We start from the raw sequence: 16,692 nt of genomic DNA on the forward strand, positions 1-16,692 counted from the left end.
TCCTAACACTGTTACGGAAACACCAGGGGTTCCATCTAGGTCCTGCTGCTCACCACACACAAAGCCAGTCACTGAGGCAATGAGTATTGCCAGGGAAGAAGGCTTTAATCAGGGGCTGCAGCTGGGGAGATAGGAGATCAGTGTAAAATCCATCTCCCTGACAAACTAAAATCAGGGGTTTATATAGCAGGGAAGAAATGTAACTACATGCAGGGAAACAGGAATTAGAGAAGGATAAAGAAGAGGAGTTGGTCAACAGGAAGCAGGTGGTTAGTTAGGCAGTCATGATGGCTAAAGGGTCTGGCCTCTCATGGTCCAGATGCAGTGATCTGGTTTCAGTTCCTTGATACTATCTAGCAGTCCTGATGGCTGGTTTCCTGAGAAAGGAACTCAGATAAAACTATTGTAACTTTCATAAGTTTTAAGACAGAGAGGGTCTATTTCTATGTTCATTCAAAGGAAACCTTAAACATCAGTTCTATGGGACAATTGTGCCAGTTTCAACACCAACACTTTGGGGGTTAGGATTTCAACATATGAATTTGGGGGGACACATATATTCAGCAGCATTCAATAAGCACTCATTTAATAAATTAATGAATGAAGATACAGAGCTCCCATGTTCTCAAACACCTACTATTTGGTTGGTGCAAAGTACTTGTGGTTTTTCCCATTATGTGTGTGTGTGTGTGTGTGTGTGTGTGTGTGTGTGTGTGTGTGTGTGTTTGAGACAGAGTTTTGCTCTTGTTGCCTAGGCTGGAACGCAGTGGCATGATCTGGGCTGACTGCAACCTCCGCCTCCCGGGTTCAAGCGATTCTCCTGCCTCAGCCTCCCGAGTAGCTGGGATTACAGGTGCCTGCCACCACGCCCAGCTAATTTTTTGTATTTTAAGTAGAGACAGCGTTTCACCATGTTGGCCAGGCTGGTCTCAAACTCCTGACCTCAGGTGATCAGCCTGCCTGGGCCACCACATGCATCCAGCCATTACTTTTAATGACTATTACAAAGCAAATACGTTGCCTGCATTGTTGTTAATCCTCATAAAAACTCTGCAAGGTTGACACTGTTGTTTCTCAATTTACAGAATTTAAAATCTGAGACTAGGAGATGCTATCTTTTTCAAGGCCTCGCAAGGCTGTGCTGGGATTCAAGCCCCCAACATCCTTCTTCTACACTTTCTCCATTGTTTTGGATAGCTCTTTACAGTTAACAAAATGCCTTCAATGCAATGATCTCATCTGACCTTAACAATAACCCTGGGAAAGAAGAATTGTAATTATCATCTCCATTTTGACATATATGAGAATCAAAGCTCAGAGAGGCAAAAGTATTTGCCCTGGTTGACACAGCTAGTGAACAGCAGAACCATTCTTCATTTCATTCAAAAGACATTTGCTGAACAACTCCCAGGTACCAGACACAATAGCTAATAGGATGTAATGCCTCAAGCTTTCTGGCTGCCCAGTCTTGTGGGGCTGAACCTTGGCCACTGCTGTGTGTTGAGTACTCATCCAGGGTAAAATGTGGATAATGTAAATGTTAACTTGTGTTGTCCAGACATGGCCTGAGAGTGGCTGGTCTGAAAGGAGATTGACAAGTGAGGGCTGAGATCACTGGGAAGCAGAACTGGAAGAGATGATGGAAGAAGGAGCTTTTTAAACACTGAGCCAGAAGATGTAGTAAGCAAGAGAAGGTTGAGGGTCAGAGCTTTTTAAAATCCCTTTTTATCCTCATTCCTCACTCCCATCCCCCGACTGGCAACCTTCTCAATGTGTTTGATGAGTATCATTTTGTTTCTTTGTGCTTTTGCAAAGTGCTTATTTTTCTTTTGTGCATAAGTGTTTTGATTCATGCAAATAATATTATGTTGTGTATTTAATTTTTCCACCCAGCATTGTGTCAGAGATTCATGTGTGTTACTGCATGGACACTTAATCCATCGCTTCTAATTATTACATAACATGGTGTGTACCTACCACATCTTACCCATCTGCTTCCCCAGGGATGACACCCAGACAATGCTGTGATGCACATGCCTGCCATGTCCCCTCCTGGGCCTGTGTGAGTTAGACTGCTGGTTCATAGGATATAGTCGTAATTCAGTAGTGCCTGCATGCTCTGCTCCCTGAGATATTCCCAGAAGCAGAGGATGAGCAGTCATATACCCTCATATCCCTGCCAGTACTTGGTGTTATCCAGCTTTCTTATGCCTGCCAGTCTAATAGATGTAAAGTGGTATCTCATTATTGCTTTAATTTGCAACTATCTAATTATTCATGTGTTGGAGCAACTCTTTATATATTTGTTGGCCTTTTAGATTCTCTGGAGTAAGCTAATCAGATTTAAAATGGAAGAGGGAAGAGCTGTCTGTTTAATTAATCTTGATTCCTGGGAAAGTCCAAAGGGTTGGGAGGTTTCCAGGCATAGGAACCAGGGGTGCTCAAGCTTACAAATGGAAAATGTTTCCAGGAGAACCACTGGACCTGAACTGGGAGGTTTTCCTTGGAAATCATCTTTTTGTTTCCCCCAAAATACAAGACAGCATGGAAAACTGGATTTAACCAGTATGACTAGATATAACCAGCCAAAACATACTTCCTGGAAACATAAATAAGTTGAATTACATTAAAAGGAAGAACTTCTGCTCTTTGAAAGACATGATTAAGAGATTGAACAGGCAATCCACAGCGTGGGATGAGATATTTGCAAATATATATGGCAAAGGACTCAGATCCAGAATATATGAAGAACTTCTACAAATTAATAAGAAAAAGACAAACTACTCAATATGGGCAAAAGACTTGAAAAAGCACTTCATAAAAGAGCATCTCTATATGGCAAAAATCATATAAAAATGTGCTCAACTTTTTAAATAATAAGAAATACAAATGAAAACATCAATAAGATGCCACTACACACCCACCAGAATGACTAAAATGAAAAAGACAGACAATACCAAACATTGGCTGGAAAGTAAATTGGCGCATCCTCTTTGGAAAACTACTTGGCAATATCTTTAAAGATGCGCCTGTGCATACCCTTTGACCCAACAGTTCCATCCTAGGAATTCATCCAAAAGAAATGTGTTCGTTAAAATACATGTACAAGAGTTTCATACACTCTAGCCTGGGCGACACAGTGATACTCTGTCTCCTAAAAAAGGAGTGTTCATAGCAGCATTATTCACAATACAAAACTTGAAAGCTACCCAAAGACTCATCAACAATATGGATAAATAATGGTGTTATATTCATGTAATGAAATACTACACAGCAACAAATATAAAAGAACTGCAGTTTTACTTTACACAAAGTACAAAACCAGGTGGAACTAATCTATGGTGAAGTCAAGACAGTGATCACCCTCGAGCAGATATCAACTGGGAAGAAGTGGGAGAAATTTTCAGGGTGCTGGTCCCATGGGTGTGTTCACTTTGTGAAATTTCATCAAGGTGTAGTCTTATGATTTTTTAACTTTTCTGTATATGTTTATACTTCAATGAAACATTCAGAAATATTACGTGGGTACCTACTTTCCAGCCCCAGTCCCATAGTGACAAATCAGGAATAGGAGACAGCCCTGAAGGGAGAGAGAGTAGTTGGCAACGGGCTGCAGAATCATCGCCCACATACAAGAACAAATCCTCACCCTGCCTTGCTTTGCCAGTGGAGTACAAGGGAGTTCACAGCCAATATGTGCTTCGTGAGATTTCAGAGGAGGCAAGATAGCAGTGTCTTAAATGTGGGTAGGGTTTTATTAAGAACCAAGTACTTTGGCTAGGCACGGTGGCTCACACCTCTGATCACAGCACTTTGAGATGCCGAGGCAGGCGGATCACTTGAGATCAGGAGTTTGAGACCAGCCTGGCCAACATGGTGAAGCTCCGTTTCTACTAAAAATACAAAACTGAGCTGGGCGTGGTGGCGGGCGCCTGTAGTCCCAGCTACTCAGGAGGCTGAGGCAGGAGAATCACTTGAACCCGGGAGGCAGAGGTTGCAGTGAGCCAAGATCACGCCACTGTACTCCAGCCTGGGTGACAGAGCAAGACTGCGTCTCAAAAAAAAATTTAAAATAAAATTTAAAAAAAAAACAAGTACTTTCCATGCATACCCCTTTGCAGCAGAGGGAGCAGAGATCTCTAAAGTCAATGTGACTTCCTTAAGTCCACACTGCCAGTAAATACCAGAGCTAGATCTAGTTCCCAGGTCTTCTAGTTTAGGGATCTCCCTCGCATGACACACTGCCAGCTGCATCTGGGCTGAGGCAATCAGGAGGCTCTACAGGGGAGGAACAAGTTACACTGGAGGTTGAAGGATGGAGGCAATGCCCAAGGGCAGACAAAAGCAAATGCTATGGCAAGAAAGTGCCAGGGCCGTGAGCTCACAGCTTCAGTGGGATCTCAGCTTCCTGAAGTGGAGCTGTCAGAGGTGTTGCTAAAAGACAGGCAGGAGTGGCTAGGGAAGTGCAGAAGGGCCCCTCCGGCCATGCTCTCTTGCCCCTTCTCTAGAAGCCCTAGGAGACTCTCCTCCCAACAGCTCCCTGTGCCCCCAGATTTATTTTGCTTTCTTTCGCTAAATCAAACTTTATCAGACAGTTTTACTGTCAGCCATTAAACCAAAATGTGTTTGTGCAACAGTAAACACCTTGTTACTGCAGGGAAGGATTACATAAACAAAGGTGGGGACGAGACCTAACTCACTGTACCCAAGAGCTGTGCGGCCCTCAGTGGGGGATGGAGAAGGGCAAATGGAAGGGCACTTCAGGGGCGTCTGGAGGCCTGAGGCGAGGGGATAGGACACGCTCCAGCCTGAGGCTTCTGCCCTCGCCAGAATGGAATGAATGGCAAGTATTCCTCCAGTCAGAAGGGCACTGTCCTCTAGAGATCTCAGAGGGGGCCCAGGAACCTTGTCAGAGCCCTGAAGGGGGCAGAGGGGGAGGCAGAAAGGCTATTCTGAGGATGGGGTGGTCGGTTTGGATTAGAATGTGGTGTGATGGTGGTGGGTTGGGAGCTAAATAGGTGTGGGAAAAACTTGAAGCCTGGGATGAATCAAGAGAGGAGAGGGTTACGGTCAGATTGAGAAGACATGCAGGTAAGGAAGACCATGGCGGGGGGCTGCCCGCTTGGGCCTGAATTATTGGCCAAGGAGTGGAGAGACAAGGCCCCTTTTTGGGGTCAGTGGGGCAGAGAGGTTTAGACTGGCTTTGGGTGGGTGGCAGATACAGACATTGGGGTGTCAGACTAGAGGCAGGACCAGTGGGCAAAGCAGCCAGATAGACCACCCCTCTGAGTACACCCAAGGTCTCAAGGCCTCCCCTCAGGGCATGTTTTCCTGCCCTTCCTCTGACCTTCTTCCACTCATCCTTGCTCAAAACCCTCTAATCAGGGCTGCTCGCTGAGCCAGGCTGCCACATGACATAAGCTGTCTAGGGACAAGCCTGAAAGACAGGCTCCAAGGGGACCCCAAGTGCTATGCAGAACAGAGGGGACATTCAGAGAGGAGGTGAACAAATAGATTAAATGTGTGCCCCCACTGGGCACTGCGCTAGGAGCTTCTGCACCACAGGTACTTACTTTCTTTTTTTTTTTTTGAAATGGAGTCTTGCTCTGTCGCCCAGGCTGGAGTCCAGTGGCACGATCTCGGCTCATTGCAACCTCTGCCTCCCGGGTTCAAGCAATCCTCCTGCCTCAGACTCCCGAGTAGCTGGGGCTAAAGGCGCCCACCACCACGCCTGACTAATTTTTGTATTTTCAGTAGAGACAGGGTTTTGCAATGTTGGCCAGGCTGGTAATCCATCCACCTCAGCCTCCCAAAGTGCTGAGATTACAGCTGAAAGCCACCGTGCCTGGCCACAAGCACTTTCATTTTCAATCTCACACCCACACTTTGGGATAGAAAGTTCTGCTTAAGCTGGAAAAGTGAAGGCTGCAAAGAGCCATGATCATGCCACTGCATTCCAGCCTAGGTAACAGAGTGAGACCCTGTCAAAAGAAAGAGAGAAAGAGAGAAGAAAGGAAGGAAGGGAGAGAGGGAGAGAAAGAAAAAATTAGCCCCACACACCAGGCTGCCTTTGGCATCAATTGTCTTATATCGCCTACACTGAGCATTTCCTGTATGGCAGTCATTCTGGTTCTATTATTTCATTTAATCCTCACACTCATATGAGACAGGTTCTTTTATTATTCCCTTTTATAAATGGGGAAACCAAGACTCAGAGAGGTTAAATTATTTAGCTAGGGTCTTACAGCTAGCAAATGGCTGAGTCAGAATTGGAGTCCAGATCTCTCTAATGCCAAAGGCTGTGCTCTTCCTGTCTGAGTCTGGGCTAAGAGGGTCTGGAGGAAGGGGTTGGGACATTGTGGGTGGAGGTTAGTAAAAGGGGTGGCCCACACACTAAAGGCTTTGCCCTGAACACTAGGCATGCAGAGGTCCCTACTGAAGAAGAAAGGGCAGTTATCAACCTCCCTCATGGTCCAAAGGGGCCGGCATGTCCCTAAACCCCTTCCTCAAACACTAGGATGTGCCTCCAGAGCCCTGGAAGTCTCTGGCCATTCTAAGCTAAGAGTCTGTAGGGCAACAGCCCCAGCTTTCTGAAGTCCTGGCCTGTGGCATTCTTAACCCTGGAGGCCACAGCTCCCTCTTTTTTCCAAATCCCAGATCCCAAGCACCCCTTCAGCCCCACCATTAGCCTTCTAATCTACTACTCAGGTACTTCGTCTCCCCATCACTACCCCAACCATCCATCCCTCTAATACCCCCACCTCGACCACAAAGTGGCTCCATCAGCCGGCCACAGCCCTAAAGCCTGAGGCCACACTGCAGAGGCTTTACCCTAGAGGTCAGCATGACCTAAGAGCCTTAGATCACTGGGGCTGCAAGTCCCCAGGTCACTGCAATCTTTCTGTTCAGGCCCTAAGCACTCACAGGCCACTGACTTCATTAACAACCTAGTCCCTTCTGAGACTAGGGAATCAAACAAGCATGGATTCTGTGGTCTGGACCAGGGCCCAGGGCCACAAGTCTCAGGATTCCATTTGGCAAAATCACAAGATAGGACTCAAAGGGGCAGGCCCAAGGTCCCAAGCTCAGAAGGGCTCGTGCCTGGTTATGGGTTTTTTTGTTTGTTTGTTTTTTGAGACGAAGTCTCGCTCTTGTCCCCGAGGCTGGAGTGCAATGGCGCGATCTCGGCTCACTGCAACCTCCGCCTCCTGGGTTTAAGTGATTCTGCTGCCTCAGCCTCCTGAGTAGCTGGGATTACAGGCCCCTGCCACCACACCCGGCTGCTTCTTATATTTTTAGTAGAGACGGGGTTTCACCATACTGGCCAGGCTGGTCTCGAACTCCTGACCTCAGATGATCTGCCCCTCTCAGCCTCCCAAAGTGCTGGGATTACAGGCGTGAGCCACCATGCCCGGCCAAAATTCTTTTTTTTTTAACAAGGAGCCCTGCATTTTTATTTCATACCAGGTCATGCAGATTGTGTGGTTGGTCCTACCCAACAGTGCTGCTGTTTCTATGGCCTAGACTTTCTTCTTGGGTCTTGCAGGAGCCAATTACAGATCTTGGAGGCCTGGTCTGGGCAGAAGTGCTCCCTGCCGTCACTCCCCACCCACAGAGCTGAACACTGCTGTCCTAAGGGGCAACTCAGGGCTGGCCCAGGGAAGGGCACAGTTCAATTCTCTGGATCCCTGGCATCTAGGACTCTGGGGACAGAGGGAGGGCAGAAAGAGGTTGTGATTTAGGGAGGAAGGTGGAAGAGAAGAGAAATGGGCTTTCAGGGCCTACAGCCAGGGGAGCTGGGAAATGAAACAATCAGGGATCCAGGAGAGATTCTACTCCATTCATCCCCCAGGGTCCCTGGAACCATATCGGTGTGGCCAGCTGCAGGTGCAGAGGCAGTATAGCAGAAGGGTTGGACACTTGAGCTCAGGGCTGGTAGGGTTCAAATCCTGCCCTGTCACTCAGTAGTTATAATCTTGCTTCAAAAATCTTGGTTTCCTCCTTTGCAAAATAGAAATATTGCCTACTATGTAGGATTATCATTGGAGGTGATATAAGTAAAGAACAACTCCTCAAACACCTGCCATTTTGTGTTTAGCATTTTACTAGGCACAAATCCCTGGGGAGGCCTCATGTAATTCCCAGTGTCAACCTGTGAGGTGGAGATTGAGTATCAGGGAGAGTTCCCTGCCCTAGGTCACAGAACAGGTGAGAAGTAGAGCTGAGGTTTGAATCCAGATCTGTGGTATCACAAGCCTTCTGGGTGCCACTGCCCCACCCTATCTGGTGGTATGGTGCTGGGCTGGAAATGTGTGTACAGGTTTAGTCACACAGAATGCAGGGATTTGTTGGTTAAAAAAAGGATTTCACGAGTAGATGACACCAAGGAGGTTATTTCATGAACTATCATTTAAAGTCACTCTTTTAGAAGAAAAAAAAATTCTTTTTCTAAAAAGAAAAGTATAATTAGAGATCACTCATGCTGTCTCCAGAGAGCTTCTTCCTCCTCCACCATCCACCATTCAGTCTGAGACAGAATTGTATGCAGGCTGCCATCATGTCTGGAGTGAAGGATGCTGGGATGTCTGCCAGAGACCCAGGCTCTCCCATAAGTCCATTGCACTTACTGGCTTTTCTTCCCCCAATATTTTATGAAAGTATAACTTACAACACTGAAAGTGCACAAATTGTATATGGAGCTTGATAAATTTTCACAATCAAACATATCCAAGAAACCAATATTAAAACTGAACATTCCCAGCATTCCAGGAGCCCCTCTACTGTCCCCTTTGAGTAACTACACTACCCAACCCCCAAAAAGCTGACTTCCAACACCACTGGTTAGTTTTACCTGTTTCAAAACTTTATATAAATGGAATCAAAGGGCATGTACTCTTTTGCATCTGGCCTTTTTGTTCAGCATAAAGTTTTTGCTCAACATTATGTTACAAATATAGTTATCTCACATATACCTATGTAACAAACCTGCACGTTCTGCACTTGTATCCTGGAACCTAAAGTAACATGTTAAAATATATATATTATATATATTATATATATACATATACATATATGTATATATATTATATATTATATATATACATATACATATATGTATATATATTATATATAATATATACATATACATATAATATATGTATATATATTATATATTATATATATACATATACATATATGTATATTATATATGTGTATATATATTATATGTATATATATAGATATAGTCATCTATATTTTCCATGTACACAATTGCAGTTCATTTACTTATATTGCTGTATAGTATTCCTTTGTATGAACATGCCACAGGCTTCCTATTCTGGACATTTGAGTAGTTTCCAATCACTTGTAAGTTTTTAATGTCTTGTAATTTTTTATGACTAAAGGACAGTCTCTCCAAAAAAAAAAAAAAATTGTTTCTAAAAACTAAGATTGGGGCTGGGTATGGTGACATACAACTGCAGTCCCAAGCTACTTGGGAGGCTGAGGCAGGAGGATTGCTTCAGCCTGGGGGAGTCGAGGCTGCAGTGACTCATGATTGCACCACTGCACTCCAACCTGGATGACAAAGTGAGAGCCTGTCGCAATTTAAAAAAAAAAAAAAAAACCTAAGATGATGTTTCATTACTGATGGACTTTTTTTTTTTTTTTTTTTTTTATTGATCATTCTTGGGTGTTTCTCACAGAGGGGGATTTGGCAGGGTCATAGGACAATAGTGGAGGGAAGGTCAGCAGATAAACAAGTGAACAAAGGTCTCTGGTTTTCCTAGGCAGAGGACCCTGCGGCCTTCCGCAGCGTTTGTGTCCCTGGGTACTTGAGATTAGGGAGTGGTGATGACTCTTAATGAGCATGCTGCCTTCAAGCATCTGTTTAACAAAGCACATCTTGCACTGCCCTTAATCCATTTAACTCTGAGTGGACACAGCACATGTTTCAGAGAGTACAGGGTTGGGGGTAAGGTCACAGATCAACAGGATCCCAAGGCAGAAGAATTTTTCTTAGTACAGAACAAAATGAAAAGTCTCCCATGTCTACTTCTTTCTACACAGACACAGCAACCATCCGATTTCTCAATCTTTTCCCCACCTTTCCCCCCTTTCTATTCCACAAAGCCGCCATTGTCATCCTGGCCCGTTCTCAATGAGCTGTTGGGCACACCTCCCAGACGGGGTGGTGGCCGGACAGAGGGGCTCCTCACTTCCCAGTAGGGACGGCCGGGCAGAGGCGCCCCTCACCTCCCGGATGGGGCGGCTGGCCGGGCGGGGGGCTGACCCCCCCACCTCCCTCCCGGACTGGGCGGCTGGCCGGGCGGGGGGCTGACCCCCCAACCTCCCTCCCGGACGGGGCAGCTGGCCAGGCAGAGGGGCTCCTCACTTCCCAGTAGGGGCGTCCGGGCAGAGGCGCCCCTCACCTCCCGGACGGGGCGGCTGGCCAGGCGGGGGGCTGACACCCCCACCTCCCTCCCGGACGGGGCGGCTGGCCTGGCGGGGGGCTGACCCCCCCACCTCCCTCCCGGACGGGGCGGCTGGCCGGGCGGGGGGCTGACCCCCCAACCTCCCTCCCGGACGGGGCGGCTGGCCGGGCTGGGGGCTGACCCCCCAACCTCCCTCCGGGACGGGGCGGCTGGCCGGGCGGGGGGCTGACCCCCCCCACCTCCCTCCCAGACGGGGCGGCTGGTCTGGCGGGGGCTGACCCCCCCACCTCCCTCCCGGACGGGGTGGCTGCCGGGCGGAGACGCTCCTCACTTCCCAGACGGGGTGGCTGCCGGGCGGAGAGGCTCCTCACTTCTCAGACGGGGCAGCTGCCGGGCGGAGAGGCTCCTCACTTCTCATATGGGGCGGCTGCCGGGCGGAGGGTCTCCTCACTTCTCAGACGGGGCGGCCGGGCAGAGACGCTCCTCACCTCCCAGACGGGGTGGTGGCTGGGCAGAGGCGCTCCTCACTTCCTAGATGTGATGGCGGCCGGGAAGAGGCACTCTTCACTTCCCAGATGGGATGGCGGCCGGGCAGAGACGCTCCTCACTTTCCAGACTGGGCAGCCAGGCAGAGGGGCTCCTCACATCCCAGACGATGGGCGGCCAGGCAGAGACGCTCCTCACTTCCCAGACGGGGTGGCGGCCAGGCAGAGGCTGCACTCTGGGCACTTTGGGAGGCCAAGGCAGGCGGCTGGGAGGTGGAGGTTGTAGCGAGCCGAGATCACGCCACTGCACTCCAGCCTGTGCGCCATTGAGCACTGAGTGAACCAGACTCCGTCTGCAATCCCGGCACCTCGGGAGGCCGAGGCTGGCGGATCACTCGCGGTTAGGAGCTGGAGACCAGCCCGGCCAACACAGCAAAACCCAGTCTCCACCAAAAAAATACGAAAACCAGTCAGGCGTGGCGGCGCGCGCCCGCAATTGCAGGCACTCCGCAGGCTGAGGCAGGAGAATCAGGCAGGGAGGTTGCAGTGAGCCGAGATGGCAGCAGTATAGTCCAGCTTCGGCTCGGCATGAGAGGGAGACCCTGGAAAGAGAGGGAGAGGGAGACCATGGGGAGAGGGAGAGGGAGAGGGAGAACTGATGGACTTTTTAAACAAGGATGATTATTTTTCTTCTCTGAAGCTAAGGCATCACAGTCAGTTGGTGTGATATTTTCACCTCCAATGGAAGTCCTAAAGAAATATTAATATCACCTTAAAAAAGTTACTTCAAACAAATACAAAGGTGAATTCTAAAGGCATCTGTCTTAGTCTACTCTGGCTGCTATAACAAAATACTATAAACTTATAAACAACAGAAATTTATTTCTTGCCATTTTGGAGGCTGGAAGTCCAAGATCAAGGTGCCAACAGATTTAGTGTCTAACAACGTCCCACTTTCTGATTCACAGACAGCACCTTCTAGCTGTGTCCTCCCTCACATGTGCAAGGGGCAATGCAGCTCTCTCAAGCCTCATTTCTTTTCTTTTTCTTTTTTTTTTTTTTCAGACACAGTCTCCCTCTGTTGCCAAGGCAGGAGGGCAGTGGCACAATCTCAGCTCACTGCAACCTCCACCTCCCAGGTTCAAGCAATTCTCCTGCCTCAGCCTCCCAAGTAGCTGGGATTACAGGTGCCTGCCAACAAGCCCAGCTAATTTTTGTATATTTTTTTAGTAGAGACAGGGTTTCGCCATGTTGGCCAGGCTGGTCTTGAACTCCTGATAGATGATCCACCCGCCTCAGCCTCCCAGAGTGCTGGGATTACAGGCGTGAGCTACCATGCCCGGCCTCAGGTCTCATTTCTAAGGGCACTAATCCTATTCATGAGGGCTGTGCCCCTATTACCTAATCACCTCCCAAAGTCCCACCTCCTAATACCATCACCTTGGGGGTTAGGATTTTGACATATAAATTTGGAGGGGACACAGACATTGAGATCATGGCGGCATCCCACTGAGTCTTCTCTTAGAACCAATTACTGTTTCAAGAAAATGTTGGCACTTTTCCTGTTAGCAAATTACTTTATGAGAGAGCAAGACAAAAAAAGCATGATACCAAAAAAGGTTTGCATAAAATGTCCCTCATGTGGAAGAAGAGGTGGAAAGACCCTTTCAGCTAGCAAATGCTTGTCTTTTTTCCTAAACATACTAAGACACAAATGTAACTTAAACGCAACCAACAAACATATGAAAAAAAGCTCATCATCACCGGTTATTAGAGAAATGCAAATCAAAACCATAAAGAGATACCATCTCAATCTCACACCAGTTAGAATGGCGATCATTAAAAAGTCAGGAAATATGCTGGGCACGGTGGCTCATGCCTGTAATCCCAGCACTTTGGGAGGCCAAGGTGGGCAGATCATGAGGTCAAGAGATCAAGACCATCCTGGCCAACATGGTGAAACCCCATCTCTACTAAAAATACAAAAATTAGCTGGGCATGGTGGCACAAACTTGTAATCCCAGCTACTCGAGAGGCTGAGGCAGGAGAATTGCTTGAACTTGGGAGGCGGAGGTTGCAGTGAGTCAAGATCACACCACTGCACTCCAGCCTGGTGACAGAGCAAGACTTTGTCTAAAAAAAAAAAAAAGTCAGGAAACAACAGATGCTAGAAAGGATGTAGAGAAATGGGAATACTTTTACACCGTTGGTGGGAGTGTAAATTAGATCAACCATTGTGGAATACATTGTGGCTATTCCTCAAGGATCTAGAACCAGAAATACCATTTGACCCAGCAATCCCATTACTGAGTATATACCCAAAGGATTATAAGTCATTCTACTATAAAGACACATGCACACGTATTGTTTATTGCAGCACTGTCCACAGTAGCAAAGACTTGGAACCAACCCAAATGCCCATCAATGATAGACTGGATAAAGAAAATGTGATACATATACACCATGGAATACTATGCAGCCATAAAAAAGGATGAGTTCATATCCTTTGCAGGGACATGGATGAAGCTGGAAACCATCATTCTCAGCAAACTAACACAGGAACAGAAAATCAAACACCACATGTTCTCACTCATAAGTGGGAGTTGAACAATGAGAGCACATGGACACAGGGAGGGGAACATCACACACACCAGGGCCTGTCTTGGGGTGGGGGACTAGGGGAGGGATAGCATTAGGAGAAATACCTAATGTAGATGACAGATTGATGGGTGCAGCAAACCACCATGGCACTTATATACCTATGTAACAAACCTGCACGTTCTGCACATGTATCCCAGAGCTTAAAGTATAATAAAAAAAGAAAAGAAAGAAAAAAAAAAAGAAGGGGGGAGAGAGTAAGTGACATACATAACCACAGTCAGTAATTTTGCTATGAATTTCTCAGCTGTTATAATGAGAGTCCTTATATTACTGAAAATGCCTGAGAACTCATTTGAGCCCAAAGTATCACTGAAGCTTTCATGGTTAATTTATTTTTCTTTTCTTTTTTTTTTTTTTTTTTGCAAACTTTCAACTATGGGGGCTGATATTTTTTTGATTGTTAAAGAGATATATTGAGAACACTTAAAACAAGTCATAAATGTCACTGGAAACACTTGGGTAAAACACCCACCTCATGGAGTTCTTAAGAAAGAGAAAAAGACAGTGGATGTTACTATATCCACTATGTACTAGCTGTATTATCTGTACCCAGGTCACTTCACTTCTCTGGGCTCAGTTTTCTCATCAGTAAAATGGGGACAATAATGACCATCTCCCAGGGTCTTGTACTAGCTGTATTATCTGTACCCAGGTCACTTCACTTCTCTGGGCTCAGTTTTCTCATCAGTAAAATGGGGACAATAATGACCATCTCCCAGGGTCTTGTACAGATTAAATGAGTTAAACTGTGTAAAAAGCTCTTTAGTCCAAAGCTTGGCCCATAGTAGATGTTCACGCTATAATAAGTATGAACGGTAGTAGCAGAGGGAATATTCCATTTATAAAGCTATATTTTAAGAAAAGGTTAAATATTACTGCTATGCCATTGTACTTGTTATGTGCTGTGTTGATGAGTTTCAGTAAGGACACTTGATCCCAGGGAGTACTACAAATCCTTCCATGAAAAAAGATTAAGAAATAAATTGATATAGAAAATGGTGGCTACTTTGGCCGGGTGAGATAATCCCAGCACTTTGGGAGGCCAAGGCAGGCAGATCACTTGAGGTCAAGGGTTCAAGACCGACCTGGCCAACATGGCAAAACCCCGTCTCTACTAAAAATACAAAAATTAGCCAGGCCTGGTGGTGCAAGCCTGTAATCCCAGCTACTCCAGAGGCTGAGGCAGAAGAAGTGCTTGAACACGGGAGGTGGAGGTTAGCCGAGATCCAGTCACTGCACTCCAGCCTGGGTGACAGAGCAAGACTCTGTCTCAAAAAAAAAAAAGAAAAGAAAAGAAAAGAAAAGAAAAGAAAAGAAAAGAAAAGAAAATGACTGCTACTTTGGTTTGTCACTTAAGTTTCTCACAATCCAAGCATTGATTCAATAAATATTTATTGAACATCCCAAATGGTCCTTCCTCCCAATCTAGTTGTGTTGAAAGACAATAAACAAGAAAATAAGCAATCAATATGATTACAAATATTGTAAATTCTATAGATGCTATGAAGAAAATAATCAGAGTGCAACAAGAGACAATTATGGAAGGAATATTTAGATTAAATTGCTGGGAAGCTCTCAGCAGTTGACATTTAAGATGAAATAAGAAGGTTGAGCAGAGCTAGCCAAGCAAAGAATGAAGGGAAAGTGTCCTAAACAGATGGACTAGGATTTAGGAAAGAAAAAAAGAGAGGACACCAGTGTGGCTGGAACATGGAGACGGAGGAGGAGAGGGTAGGGGAGAGAAGGAAGAGAAGGAAGAGATGAGGCTGGACCAGTGGCCTTGGCTCAGATTCTACAGAACCTTCTAAGCCATGGTAAGCAGCTGGGATGTTCCCTGACCTCTGACTATGAACCAATTTCTACTTTTTTTAAGAAAAGAAATAAAATTCTAAAATATATTTTAAACTTCTTCAAATTAGATTATTAAACAAAAATAATTTTTTCCCTCATTGTCCAAATCAATGTGTTCTTTCAAGTGTATATCCAAAATAGTTTTCTGAAAGCTTGTCACAGAAGGGCCTGGCCCACTTTTACATTTTCTCTATTCAATTAAAAATAATAATATCCAAGATATTACCACTGAGGGAAATTGAGTGATAGGTACATGAGCCCTTGTACATTTTTCTGCAACTTCCTTTGACTCTATAATTATTTCAAAATTTAAAAGTTCAAAAATAATAACACTAAAATAGCAAGTAGCCCTGTCGACTTGGAGTTCCCCTTCATCTCATTCTGTCTTTCAACATCATCTGAAGACTCTGAATGGCATTTTGAAGACACCAAAGCTGAAAAACCACCACTTTCCATAACTTTGTTATCATTCCCGAGGAGAGTATAGAAATACAGCCTCCAAAAAAATGATTCAAAATTATAGACATTTGCAGCCATTCAAGGCTTACGAGTTTACAAAACATCTACTTTTCTTCTATTTGAAACCTCGAGGAGGGGATGGCTTTTGGAAACTTTTCTCCACAAAAGGATTACATTGAAAGTCCTCACTGTGCTCTACATTTTCTGCACATTTTTGGCTCTATTTATATCTGAAAGTAAATTTTTTTTTCTTCCATAGCTATGTTTAAAATACAAGGATGGAGTTGTGTTAACAAATGTACATTTAGGCAGCCTGAGTTTGCAAAAAAAAAAAACAGGAAAAAAATTTTTAATATTGGAAATTTGCTAAAAATGATCAAAGAGAGTATCATCTTTTTGGCTGGGGGCCGCTAATGGAATACTGCCCAGGGACTCTTCAAAGTCCTCTGGGCTATGCCTTTACTTGATTCAGTCCCACAACCCACAAAAAAAAAAAAAAAAAAAAAAAAAAAAAAAATATATATATATATATATATATATATATATATATATACACACACACATATAATCCAGAGCCGTTCACACACTAGGCACTGGATTAACTGCCAGGAATGGCAACTAGGTTGAGACACCACGTTCTAATGTCTGGCCCACACCCCTCAGGACAGAAATTGGTTAGTCTTTTAACAGTCTCTCAGCAACAGACTCAGGCTATCAAAATTCATGGAAGCAGCTATGGAAACAAGCGTTCCAATGTGCTAAATTGACTGACTCCTCACTCCAGCACCAAAAACCAGTCAAAG

This window comes from Homo sapiens, chromosome 2 (genome assembly GCF_000001405.40).
Source record: "Homo sapiens chromosome 2, GRCh38.p14 Primary Assembly".
NCBI classification, from domain to species: Eukaryota; Metazoa; Chordata; class Mammalia; order Primates; family Hominidae; genus Homo; species Homo sapiens.